This window comes from Homo sapiens, chromosome 11, assembly GCF_000001405.40.
Source record: "Homo sapiens chromosome 11, GRCh38.p14 Primary Assembly".
Lineage (NCBI taxonomy): Eukaryota > Metazoa > Chordata > Mammalia > Primates > Hominidae > Homo > Homo sapiens.
Window position 1 is genome coordinate 82,926,527 of NC_000011.10, and position 12,947 is coordinate 82,939,473.

Consider the following 12,947-nt stretch of genomic DNA (forward strand, 5'->3'; position numbering starts at 1 on the left):
ATTTTAGAAATATGGGTGCCTCTAGAAGTTAAATCGGGACGGTGATGTGAATATGTTGTCTATATCCTTGTTTCTCAAAGTATGGCCTAAGGTACATCTGCATCAGTATTACCTGGGAGCTTATTAAAAATGCAGGATCTTGGGCCTCATCCCAGACTTCCTGAATCAGAATCTTCATTTTAACAAGATCTCTGGATGATTTGTATACATATTAATGTTTGAGAAGCTCTAATCTGTATTACACCACACTAACATTTATTTTAATCCAGCATCGTTCCTAAAAGGATTAAAGAAAACTATATAAATAAATATCTTCATTATACATATGTACTTTATAAAAATATATATAGTTTAATATGTAAATGCATGAACACTAATAGACATAGTTTTTTGAGGCTATTATTGATACTGTCATTGCAAGCAGTTCTTTATTTTAACCATTTGGTCCCACTGTTATCATATCATAATATCAGAACTTCATGATACGAGTTCACAGTCTTGGGTTTGGGTCATATATTTACCAACTTTGTCATCTCAGATAAAAATTCAAACTAATTTCCCCATTTGTAAATTTTACCTATAAAAATGAAATAATGTATGTTGAAAACATTTGTAAACTGAATGCTAATGCATATTAGTCTAAGTTTTGCTAGGAATTTTACATTAAACCTGTATGCATTATTGCATAGCCTTTAAAGAAATTCCAATATATATTTTAAACAGTTCATTTCCCTAGAGTTTGGTACTAATGGAGTTTTATCCCCTAGTGAGTCAATTACCTTTAATTCATTCTATGGCTAACCTACAGCACAAACTCTAGCAGATTTGTATAGGATTATATGAATGGGTTGGTATAGATCTATCCTCAGTATGGCAGAAGAATAACAGCACAGATCTAATAAAGGTGAGTCACTTTCAGAGCTACAGATTTTAGACTCCCCCTAGTGGCCATCTGGCAACAATCAAATTTATACAACCATCTTTCACCTTGCTTTCTGTTTGCCTTTTGCCACTCTTTTTTAAGATCTTTAGCAATCTGAAGAAAAAACAAAATTCTAGTATTAGCCATTACCATAAAATGTTTTTAGGTGCTTGTTGTATTTCAAAAAAATTTTTTAAACTATTCTGTCTGTTAAATAAAGTTAACCTAACTGAGGGGTGGACATTAAGAACCTGAAAGATAGAAATCAGAGTTATAATACATTGCAAACTAGAAGAGAAGTTAACAGTACAAGTGACAGTAATTATCACAATACTTGATATAATTATGAGGGAGAAGCAGACTAACACTAATTTCACAGTATTTGCACTAGACCCTTTATTTGTCTATTTTAATCCTTCTTCAGCCCTGGACTTCATAGATGAGGAACTCAAGAATTTAGTAACTGTCAGACAATGAGTACATGGCAATAGAGTTACACTGCCATGTAGATGTGTACTTTTTGACTAGAAAGCCTTTAGCCACCATTACATACTGTCTTAAAAAAACAAGTTAAATTGCATGGTTTTCATATCAAATTTTATAATCTGATAAGTTATCAACATAGTCTAATGAATTAAAGAAAGTAATTTTCATTATGGTGAGAAAAATGCAATTAAGTGCTTTGTGTATAAATAGGTATTAAATATTTTGAGATTATTTTTTGTCCTCTTTTTTTTTTTTTTTTTTTTTTTTTTTTTTTTTTTTTTTGAGACGGAATGTCACTCTGCCCCCCAGGCTGTAGTGCAGTGGTGCGATCTTGGCTGACTGCAAGATCCACCTCCCGGGTTCACATCATTCTGCTGCCTCAGCCTCCCAAGTAGCTGGGATTACAGGTGCCCATCACCACACCCATCTAATTTTTATGTATTTTTAGTAGAGACAGGGTTTTACCGTGTTAGCTAGGATGGTCTCAATCTCCTGACCTGGTGACCCACCCGCCTCGGCCTCCCAAAGTGCTGGGATTACAGGTGTGAACCACCGCGCCCGGCCTTTTCGTCCTCTCTTTCATGCACAGTTCTCCTTTAGTTTTCCATCAATTTGGTATGTATTTCTATCAACTTGGGGCTGTTTAATTTAAATCAGTAACGCTAACTATTCTGACTAGAGAAATTTAAAATAAGTTGATCTGAAAGAGTTTAAGAAGAATTTGAGTTGTGTAGGAGCATTTATACACAAAATGTTATTTTAAATTTTTACTGTTCTGGATTTTTCATCATATGAAAAACATTTAATGAACATCTCCACACTTTTTTCCACCACTTTTCTAGGTCTAATTGTCCAAAATGTGGCTCTACTGGTGAATCTGGAAATGCCAATTACAGATACAAACTTTCCTTAAAAGTTGCAGAATCAAACAAATTGTTTGTTATTACTGTATTTGGAAGTTGCTTAGATACATTTTTTGGTCTTACTGCCACTGGTTTGCACAGGTAAGAATACTTAAAACATCCTTTTTCCTGACTGCCCTTAGAATTTGAAGATACAAGTTTATAAGGCAATATGCATTTTTGTAGAAAGATAATCATTCAACCCCAGATTGTCAATTCCTTTAAAAGACAAGCAAGTAAGAAAGATGTTTATTTCCTGAATACATATTATGATGATATTAAAACAGTCTCCTTTTATTTAGGGTAATTAATCTGTAATTAGAATATTAAGTTATAAATCTCTAATCCAAGTTACAGAAATAGAGGCTAAGAAAGTAACATCATTTCAAATTGAAGAATTATCCAAATTGAGGTTAGCATTGAAACAGTTAGGTTCCCCTGAGGCAGAAGAATCTATTTGAGGGAATATTTGCATTTCAGAAATTGAAATTTTATTTTTTATCTGTATTGCAATTTAATTTGCATAGTTTGACCTTTTACGACATTGTCCTGAGAATATAAGAATAAGCAATTAAAGCTTTTCTTGGCCGGGCGCGGTAGCTCACGCCTGTAATCCCAGCGCTTTGGGAGGCCGAGGCGGGCGGATCACAAGGTCAGGAGATGGAGACCATCCTGGCTAACACGGTGAAACCCCATCTCTACTAAAAATACAAAAAATTAGCTGGGCATGGTGGTGGGCGCCTGTAGTCCCAGCTACGCCGGGAGGCTGAGGCAGGAGAATGGCATGAACCCAGGAGGCAGAGCTTGTAGTGAGCCAAGATTGCACCACTGCACTCCAGCCTGGGAGACAGAGCGAGACTCTGTCTCAAAAAAAAAAAAAAAAGCTTTTCTTCCCCCTCAGTCTTCTGCCCTCCTCCCCTAATCACATGCAAGAAATCTATGTCCACATTTTTGTGCTTGAGACAATAAAGGGACCACAACCAGGCTTATCAGAGAAAAGGGATGACTTTTTCCTGCTTTCAAGTGAAGAGCTAGAGATGCCACCACTATTCCCACTGCCACTTTTATTTTTCCTTATAATCATTGCCGGGCCTGATGGTTAGGCAGGTAACTACTTTACTCCCACTTGATCAATTGGTTTTGTTGATTTTTCTGTGCTATGAGAAACTAGAGAGAACAAACTGCCTGGCTCTTAAAGTCACTTTTTTTCCTCTATAAAAGGTTCATGCTGCATTTTCAAATTAATTGTGTCTCTGACTTTATGGCAAGTAAAATTTCAAAGTTCATTGCTTCACATTTTTTACTTTTTTTCCAATCAAGGTACATTCAGGATCCTAATAAAATTCCAGAAACACTGGACAATGATACAACTCAGAATCTATTAACTAAAGCAGTTGAAACTTGCTTTGTTGGACAAAGCTTTATTTTTGGAGTGACGGTAATTGAGACTAGCTTTCTTTTTAATAATCTGTTAACATTTCCATTGTAATGAATTATGTGAATTTTCTAAATAGTTGTTAGGAGTTCTGTACATGTGAAGGCCTGTAGAAACACTTTAAACTATGTAAAAATAGCCTATAGGTGGTCTGTTAAAACACCATGTGTGACAACTTCCTCTTTCGAAAGTCAGGGGAGCCTACTTCAAATGCTTTCAGAGCTTAAAAATATAAATTTATTATATATTTAGAAATGTTAGATATTTGTTTTTGGTATTTAGTATTTATTTTGCCCTCCGGATTTTGTTCAAATTCTATAGTAAAACTTCCACCAATTCTCTAGCTTTTTAATTCTGTCTTCTATAAAAGAGAATAATGGAACACTGAAGGCAAAGTATCTTGAGTATTGATAAGAATACTAAAACTAGATTAAGAAAGATGGTCTTAAATATAAAAGTGACTGTAGAAGAAGTTAAAAAAAAAAGAAGTTACTCCTTTGACTTTGAAGGAGTAATAGTTTTCTGTCTCATCTATGCTAAAGGGAACAAAGAGACATTTTTTTCCACACTGGAATCAGGGTTTTAAAAGAGGACTCCACAACAGAAGAGTGAGAAAAATCCAAAGGGAAGGTAGAATCAACGGCTACAGAGCTTTACTTGTTAAAATCGTAGACAGTCCTTTTCTCTCCTCTCTTCTTTTTCCTCCTCCCCTTTTTCCCCTCCCCTCCCCTCCTCTCTTTCCTTAGCTAAAGAGAACTATGATAGTTGCCATTTATTGAGCCACTGCTATTTTCTAAGCACTGTGCAGTTTTCCATTTTATTACTAAACAGTAATCCTGCATTTTTATTTTTATTTTTATTTTATAAAGGAGAAGACTCAGGTTAAATAAATTGTCCAAAGTCTCAACACTATTAATAAATGCGGGAACTAGGATTTCTTCAAATCAGTTTAAACAAGCTCTTTACTCTAAGGTTTATATTCTCTTACATATGCTACTTTGCCTATAAAACTAACAGAATCGAAATTGGAATTGGGGGATGGAGGTAATAGTTGTATCTGTTTTAACCTTTTAAATCTGTTTATTTTATTTTATTTTTGAGACAGAATCTCACTCTGTCACCCAGGCTGGACTGCAGTACCAAGATCATGGCTCACTGCAGCCTTGACCTCCCTAGGCTCTGGTGATCTCCCACCCCAGCCTCCTGAGTAGCTGAGACTACAGGCACACGCCACCATGCCCAGCTAATTTTTGTGGGGGTATTTTTTTTAGAGGAGAGGTTTTACCATGTTGCCCAGTCTGGTCTCAAACTCTTGAGGCTCAAGTGATCTGCCTGCCTCGGCCTCTCAAAGTGCTGGGATTACAGGCATGAGCCACTGTGCCTGGCTAAATTTCTGTTTCATGTTTAAGTAAATGGAAGACAATTTTATTCTTACTTAAATTTCTTTGCTTCTTTCACAGAATTTTGAAAACCAACCTGGACAAGGTTCAGATGCCAGTAACTTCTTACAGCAATGCTCTGACCACAAAAGAAAAGCCAAAGCACTAGTGGCTTGCCAGATTGTTCTACCAGACCCAGGTATTGCAGGCTTTACTGTCATTGACTACTTCCATCAACTTTTGCAGACTTTTAATTTCAGGAAACTTCAGTGTGACTCTCAGGCACCTAACAATCACTTACTTGCTTTAGATCACTCAAATAGTGATCTCAGCAGCATATATACTTCTGACAGCACTTCTGATTTTTTCAAGTCCTGCAGCAAGGATACTTTTTCAAAATTCTGGCAGCCATCACTTGAATTCACTTGCATTGTTTCACAACTAACAGATAATGATGATTTTTCAGCTTCAGAACAAAGTAAGGCCTTTGGTACTCTTCAGCAGAACAGAAAGTCCATCTCCATTGCAGAGGCCACTGGTTCCAGTAGCTGCCATGATCCCATTCAGGATTCATGGAGCCTTGTTTCATATATGGATAAAAAGAGTACAGCAGAAAAGTTGGGTAAAGAACTTGGCTTACAAGCTAAGGAGCTGAGTGCAGTTCACAGCAGTCATCATGAAATTGGAGTTAATGACTCTAATTTATTCTCTTTGGAAATGCGAGAGCCCCTTGAGTCAAGTAATACAAAATCCTTCCACAGTGCAGTGGAAATTAAAAATAGGTCCCAGCATGAGCTACCATGTTTTCAGCATCATGGTATAGATACCCCAACTAGCCTTCAGAAGAGATCTGCATGTTGTCCACCTTCGTTACTCAGACTTGAAGAGACAGCCAGCAGTTCCCAGGATGGTGACCCTCAAATTTGGGATGATCTGCCATTCTCTGAAAGCCTGAACAAGTTTCTGGCAGTTCTTGAAAGTGAGATTGCTGTAACCCAGGCAGATGTCAGTAGTAGGAAACATCATGTAGATAATGACATTGATAAATTTCATGCAGACCACAGCAGGTTATCTGTGACTCCCCAGAGAACTACTGGAGCCCTGCATACACCACCTATAGCTTTAAGATCATCACAAGTAATAGTCAAAGCAAACTGTAGCAAAGATGACTTCCTTTTCAACTGTAAAGGAAATCTAAGTCCTAGTGTTGAAAAGGAGTCACAACCAGATAACAAAGTAGAGGCTGTCTCTGTAAATCATAATGGAAGAGATATGTCAGAATATTTTTTACCGAATCCTTACCTGTCAGCTCTGTCTTCATCTTCAAAAGATTTAGAAACAATAGTTACTCTTAAGAAGACTATCAGAATCTCACCACACAGGGAGAGTGACCATTCTAGTCTAAATAACAAATATTTGAATGGATGTGGAGAAATATCAGTTTCAGAAATGAATGAAAAGTTGACAACTCTGTGTTATAGGAAGTATAATGATGTCTCTGATCTTTGCAAATTAGAAAATAAACAATATTGTAGGTGGTCCAAGAACCAAGATGACAGTTTTACAATTTGCAGGAAACTTACATATCCTTTAGAAACTCTTTGCAATAGTCCAAATAGAAGTACAAATACATTGAAAGAAATGCCTTGGGGACATATCAATAACAACGTAACACAGAGCTATTCTATTGGTTATGAAGGTAGCTATGATGCCTCTGCTGATCTCTTTGATGATATTGCTAAAGAAATGGACATTGCAACTGAGATTACCAAAAAATCACAGGATATTTTGTTAAAATGGGGAACATCTTTGGCAGAAAGTCACCCTTCAGAGTCTGATTTTTCACTGAGATCACTTTCTGAAGACTTCATCCAGCCTTCACAAAAATTATCCTTGCAAAGCCTATCTGACTCTAGGCATTCAAGAACATGCTCTCCAACACCTCATTTTCAATCAGATTCAGAATATAATTTTGAAAATAGTCAAGACTTTGTTCCATGTTCACAGTCAACTCCAATTTCAGGGTTCCACCAAACAAGAATTCATGGGATAAACAGAGCTTTCAAAAAACCTGTATTTTATTCAGATCTTGATGGTAACTATGAAAAAATAAGGATTTTCCCTGAAAATGACAAACAGCAAGCCAGCCCAAGCTGTCCAAAAAATATAAAAACACCTAGCCAGAAAATCAGAAGCCCTATTGTATCTGGTGTTTCACAACCAGACGTTTTCAATCACTACCCTTTTGCTGAGTGCCATGAAACTGATAGTGATGAATGGGTCCCTCCTACCACACAAAAAATATTTCCTTCAGATATGCTTGGATTCCAAGGCATAGGTCTAGGGAAATGCCTTGCTGCCTATCATTTCCCTGATCAACAAGAGTTACCAAGAAAGAAACTGAAACATATTAGACAAGGAACCAATAAAGGTTTAATTAAGAAGAAATTAAAGAATATGCTTGCAGCAGTTGTTACGAAAAAGAAAACTCATAAATATAACTGTAAAAGTTCAGGCTGGATTTCCAAATGTCCAGACATTCAAGTCTTAGCAGCACCTCAGCTGCACCCTATTCTTGGACCTGATTCTTGTTCAGAAGTCAAATGTTGCCTTCCATTTTCAGAAAAAGGCCCACCTTCAGTGTGTGAAACTCGAAGTGCTTGGTCACCTGAATTGTTTTCATAAAAAGTCACCTGAACCCAATTCCTGAACTTTTAAATCTGTTTGGAAATGTTTGCCTTCAGGGGTACGGAAAGCATTCTTTACATTTTGAACACTTGGAGAGAAGCAAATTGAAAACAGGACTCTGCTGGGAGCTACTGTGCCTTTTAAAATATAAAGCCATTGTTTTCCCCAGGGTTTTATCTAGAATACTATGATTAGGTAGTTGAGCACTTTATCTTATACTGTTTATTGTACTTTAATAATATTGTTAAGATTGTTTTTGAAAGTATTAATGTTTGTTAAAATCACATATACATCCAGAAATAAAGACTTTGCAAACCAAAACTTAGTCTTTTTTAATTGTTCAGCTCAGACCAGAAAATGCCAGCTATATTATAGGCCAATGAGTGTGCTGAGTTTGGGATAGAAAGCTACAAGATCACTGATCTTAAAATATGTTAGTCTGCTGGATAAGACAGATAAACAGGTAACTTCAATACAGTGCAGAAGATGCAATGATATGGGTTTGTAATGGGCATGACAAACATTTACGTTGCTATGAGAGCATGGAAGAAAAGCAGCTAACTCATCAGTGAGCTGAGGGTAAGAAGAAACGTTTTAAGAAAAAAAGCTATTTAGAAGTTGTATGTGAAACTGTTGCTATTTTATTTAATACGTATACACTGAATGCCTACTCTACATGCCAAGGGCCGTGCTTAGTGCTGGAAACTGAAGATAAAAATCAAGCTCCTTCCCTCAAACTCATGAGCTATTGGAATAATCAGGTAATTAGAATCTGGTAGGTTCTATGATAGGAGGTAAGCTTGGGGTGCTAACAGGAACAAAAATGAAAAGCAATTTTCAGACACTCAAGTCTTAGCAGCAGCTCTGCTGCACCCTGTGAAATCTTTCACATATACCTGGCCAGGTTCCTTTGCCATTCCCCACAGCAACCATTCCAAAACAATACTTTCTTCATGCCACAAAGCAACTGCTACTCTCCTTGCCTCCTACTTCATGGACAATATTGAGATCACTTGATATTTTCTCAACTTCTCGCACCCATACCTACCCACATGTCTATCTGTACTCACCCACAGCTGCTTTCCTCTAGTCTCAGAAAATACCATCTAAGTGCTAATCTTTCCATTTAGACTATTGATCTATTACACCCATCTTTGAGGTCTTATACCAAATATTCCCCCTATATTTTCACCTTCTTGCCCTACTGTGTCTCTCCCTCTCCACAATTTTTTATTTTGAAAATTTGCAAACAGAAAAGTTGAAAGCGGCCGGACGCAGTGGCTCATGCCTGTAATCCCAACACTTTGGGAGGCCGAGGTGGGCAAATCACCTAAGGTCAGTAGTTCGAGATCAGCCTGGCCAACACGGTGAAACCCTGTCTCTACTAAAAATACAAAAATTAGCCAGGCATGGTGATGCATGCCTGTAATCCCAGCTACTCAGGAGGCTGAGACACGAGAATCACTTGAACCTGGGAGGCGGAGGTTGCAGTGAGTCAAGATCTTGCCACTGCACTCCAGCCTGGGCAACAGAGTGAGGCTCTGTCTCAAAAAAAAAAAGTTGAAAGAATAGCACAATGATACGGAATGATACGGTATCTGTACATACCATTTAGATTCAATCATTTTAAACATTTTGCCTTTGTGTGTGTGTGTTTGGTTTCTGTGTGTCTAAATAGATACAGTTTTGCTTTGCTAAACCATTTAAAGGTAAGCTGCAGACAGGACATTTCACCCCTAAATTCTTCAGTGCAAATTTTCTTAAAGGCTTCTCTCTACATAGCCACAGTATCATTATCACACCAAGGAAAGATAACAGTAATCCCCAATATCTAATATTCAGCCCATAATCAAATTTTTCTACTTGTCCCCAAATTATAATTGTTATTTAACCAGAATTTCATCAAGGTTCATCCATAGTGTTTGCTTGTCTCTTTTTCTAGAACCTCACCTCTTATTTCACATAATAGTAACTTTATGGAAAAAAAACCTCAAACCACTGTTCTGTAGAATGTCCCACATTCTCGACTGGTATGTTTGCTTCCTTATACTATCAGTACATTGTTTCTCTACCCCACCCCAGTCCCCACATTTCCTGAAAATTAGGCCTAAAGACTAGATGTGATTCAGGTTTTGGCAGGGATATTCCATGGCTCATGTTGTGTACTTTATGTTGTAACACATGAGGAGACACAATATCAAGTTGTTCCACTATTAGTAATGCTAAGTTAGATTGCTTGGTTAAAATGTTGCCCACCGGATCTCGATGTTAAATATACTTTATTTTTCCTTTTTAAGAGTAAAGAGTCAGTGGTGGTAAATTAGTTTGCTTTTCCTTCTATCACTACAGACTCAAGAATTTTTATTTTTCCTATGGAAAGAAAAACAAGCCACGTCTGGTAGCTTATGCCTGTAATCCCAGCACTTTGGGAGGCCGAGGCAGGAGGCTTGCTTGAGTCTAGGAATTCAAGACCAGCCTGGGCAACATGGCAAAACCTCATCTCTACAAAAAATTAGCCAGGTGTGGTGGCACACGCCTGTAGTCCCAGCTACTTGGGAGGCTAAGGTGCACCCAAGAGGTGCAGCTTGCAGTGAACTGAGATTGCGCCACTGCATTCCAGCCTGGGCGACCCTGTCTCAAAAAAACTGGTGCATATTTATTGTCCAATCATTTCATACAAAGATTCTTAATTCTTTCTAGACTGTTTCCTAGTCTTTGGGACTAGGAAATAGTCTGTGTTCTTTTTGTCAGATGTTCTATTCCTGGCTAATTTCATACCTCCCTCTGTGATAAAAGAGTAACGATGCTGTTAGTATTTACAATGTCATGACTTCAGAAACTGTTTTTGTTGAGCTATATAGATCTTGCCTTAGCAGTTACCTAATGTCATTTGTTTAATGCTAGTTCCTCTGTGATGCAGCATCCGTTGTGCTACTGTGAATACTGGTTTCCAATGATCTCTCAAAGGTTGTTACTATACTTTGCTGGTGACTACCGAAAAGCAAGTCCTACCCAGAGTGTGCAGGAAAATAAATAATAATCCATTTTTTGGTCCTATTTACCATTTGTACTAAATATTGCTTCCCAACCATGCAGTCTTTTGAACATTTTAGGCTGCAATTACTGCACTCCTATACTGTGATCTCTTTCAATGTTGGCTGCACCCTGGAAGGATAGGCAAGAGCCTATCCTTGCTCTGTGGTTGGAGCAACAAGAGCGGTTCCATTTGTGCAAAGAATATCTATTCCTCCATCAGCATGGCTTAACGCCTAATCTGGAAATCACAGTGTCACTATCAACTGGAAATGAGAGGACATTGATTGGAAGTGCCCACTGGCATTGTGGACCAACAGTCTTAAAAGGCCTCAGAGAAGATAGGCATGGCCTGCAGAAGGGGGAAGGGTGACCTTCCTGGTGTCAGTGGCTGGAGGCAGACAGGGTAAATAACAGCTGCCACTACCCTCACAGACCAGGGAGAGCCAATGCACAGGCCTACACACAGAACTCAATCCCAAGGACCAGTGGTGACCTTTGGTAGCCACAACCCTGAACTTGTGAGAGTCACCTAAATGAATTTGAGAGTCACCTAAAAATATGTCAGCACCATTCTGGCAGCCCAATCTTGTACTATTTTATGAAAGCACTATTGCCTCAGCCAATGGGAATGACCCAGGTTTGATTTCATAGGCGCAAGTCCCAAGCTCCTCAGGACATTTGGTACACACCAAACATGATGTAGAGGGTTGGAGAATACCTCAAATGGGATAAATGGCACTGTCACAAGCACAAAAGTGAGACTTAGAAAATTTCGAGGGAGGCACTTCTGGCAACTAGCTCCCACGTGGGACCAGGTCCAGGCTCAGGGTGGACTTCTACCAGGCGCTAGAGGAGAATTTAGAAGGAAACTTGAGGAAGGCATTCCAAAGCCTTAGTCTCCCTGAAGCGTAGAGGGCTGTGACAGGATCCCCTCTCACCCAGGCCTCAGAGGTACTTTCTTATCATCCCTCCTTATTGTCCTTTTGTGCCTCCTTATTTGCCTGTTTTAAAAAGATAGTGCCTTTTTTTGTTTTGTTTTTTGTGTTTTGGCAGGATCTCACTCTGTTATCCAGGCTGGAGTGCAGTGGCACAGTCCTGGCTTACTGCAACCTCCACCTCCCGGGCTCAAGCAATCTTCCCACCTCAGCCTCTTGAGTAGCTGGGACTACAAGCGTGCACCACCATGCCCAGCTAATTTTTTTTATTATTATTTGTAGAGACAGAGTCTTGCTGTGTTGCCCAGGCTGGTCTCGAACTCCTGAGCTCAAGTGATCTGCCTGCCTCGGCCACCCAAAATGCTGAAATTACAGGCATGAGCCACCTTTCCTGGCCAATTTTTTAAATATTTTGTGGAAGACAGAGTCTCCCTGTGTTGTCCAGGCTGCTCTCGAACTACTGGGCTCAAGTAATCCTCCCACCTCAACCTCCCAACATGCCGGGATTACAGGGTTGAGCTGCCATGCTCAGCCCAATGATGGTGCCTCTTATAGAGTGTCTGAATGGATAGAGAAACAAGGGCTAACTACAGGAAACCCACTTCACCTATAAAGACATATGTAGATTAAAAGTGAATGGGCGGAAAAAGATATTCCATGCAACTGAAAGCCAAAAAAAGAACAAGAGTAGCTATACTTAGATAAAATAGAAGACAAATCAAGGAACGTTAAAAGAGACCAAAAAAAATCACTACATAATGATGAATAGGTCAATTCAGCAAGAGGGTATAACCTTTAAAAATATCTATGCACCCAACATCAGAACTTTCAAGTATGTAAAGCAAACATTAATAGAGCTAAAGGAAAGATAAACAGTAATGCAATAATAGTAAGGGGCTGGGCACAGTGGCTTATGCCTACAATCTCAGTGCTTTGGGAGGCTGAAGTAGAGGATCACCTGAAGCCAGGAGTTCATGACCAACCTGGTCAACCCCATCTCCAAAACCCCATCTCCAAAAAAGAAGACCCCATCTCCACAAAAAATTGTAAAAGTTAGCTGGGCATGGTGGTGTGCACCTGTAGCCCCAGCTTCTTGGGAGGCTTAGGTAGGAGGATCACTTGAGCCCAGGAGTTCATGGTTACAATGAGCCACTACTGGAGTTC

General features: G+C 38.8%; 1 protein-coding gene across 5 annotated transcripts in view; it reads left to right on the forward strand.

The window, feature by feature from the left end:
- The window catches only part of DDIAS (DNA damage induced apoptosis suppressor), a 32,924-nt gene extending 24,791 nt beyond the window's left edge, over window positions 1–8,133 (forward strand). For all 5 annotated transcript variants that reach the window (XM_024448400.2, NM_145018.4, NM_001363481.2 and 2 more), the window contains 3 exons: window positions 2,251–2,412; window positions 3,631–3,748; window positions 5,206–8,133. In XM_024448400.2, coding sequence (XP_024304168.1) covers window positions 2,251–2,412; window positions 3,631–3,748; window positions 5,206–7,809 — 2,884 coding nt within the window. In that variant the 3' untranslated portion in view covers window positions 7,810–8,133. The remainder of the gene's footprint in view (window positions 1–2,250; window positions 2,413–3,630; window positions 3,749–5,205) is intronic.
- Window positions 8,134–12,947: the final 4,814 nt, after the last annotated feature.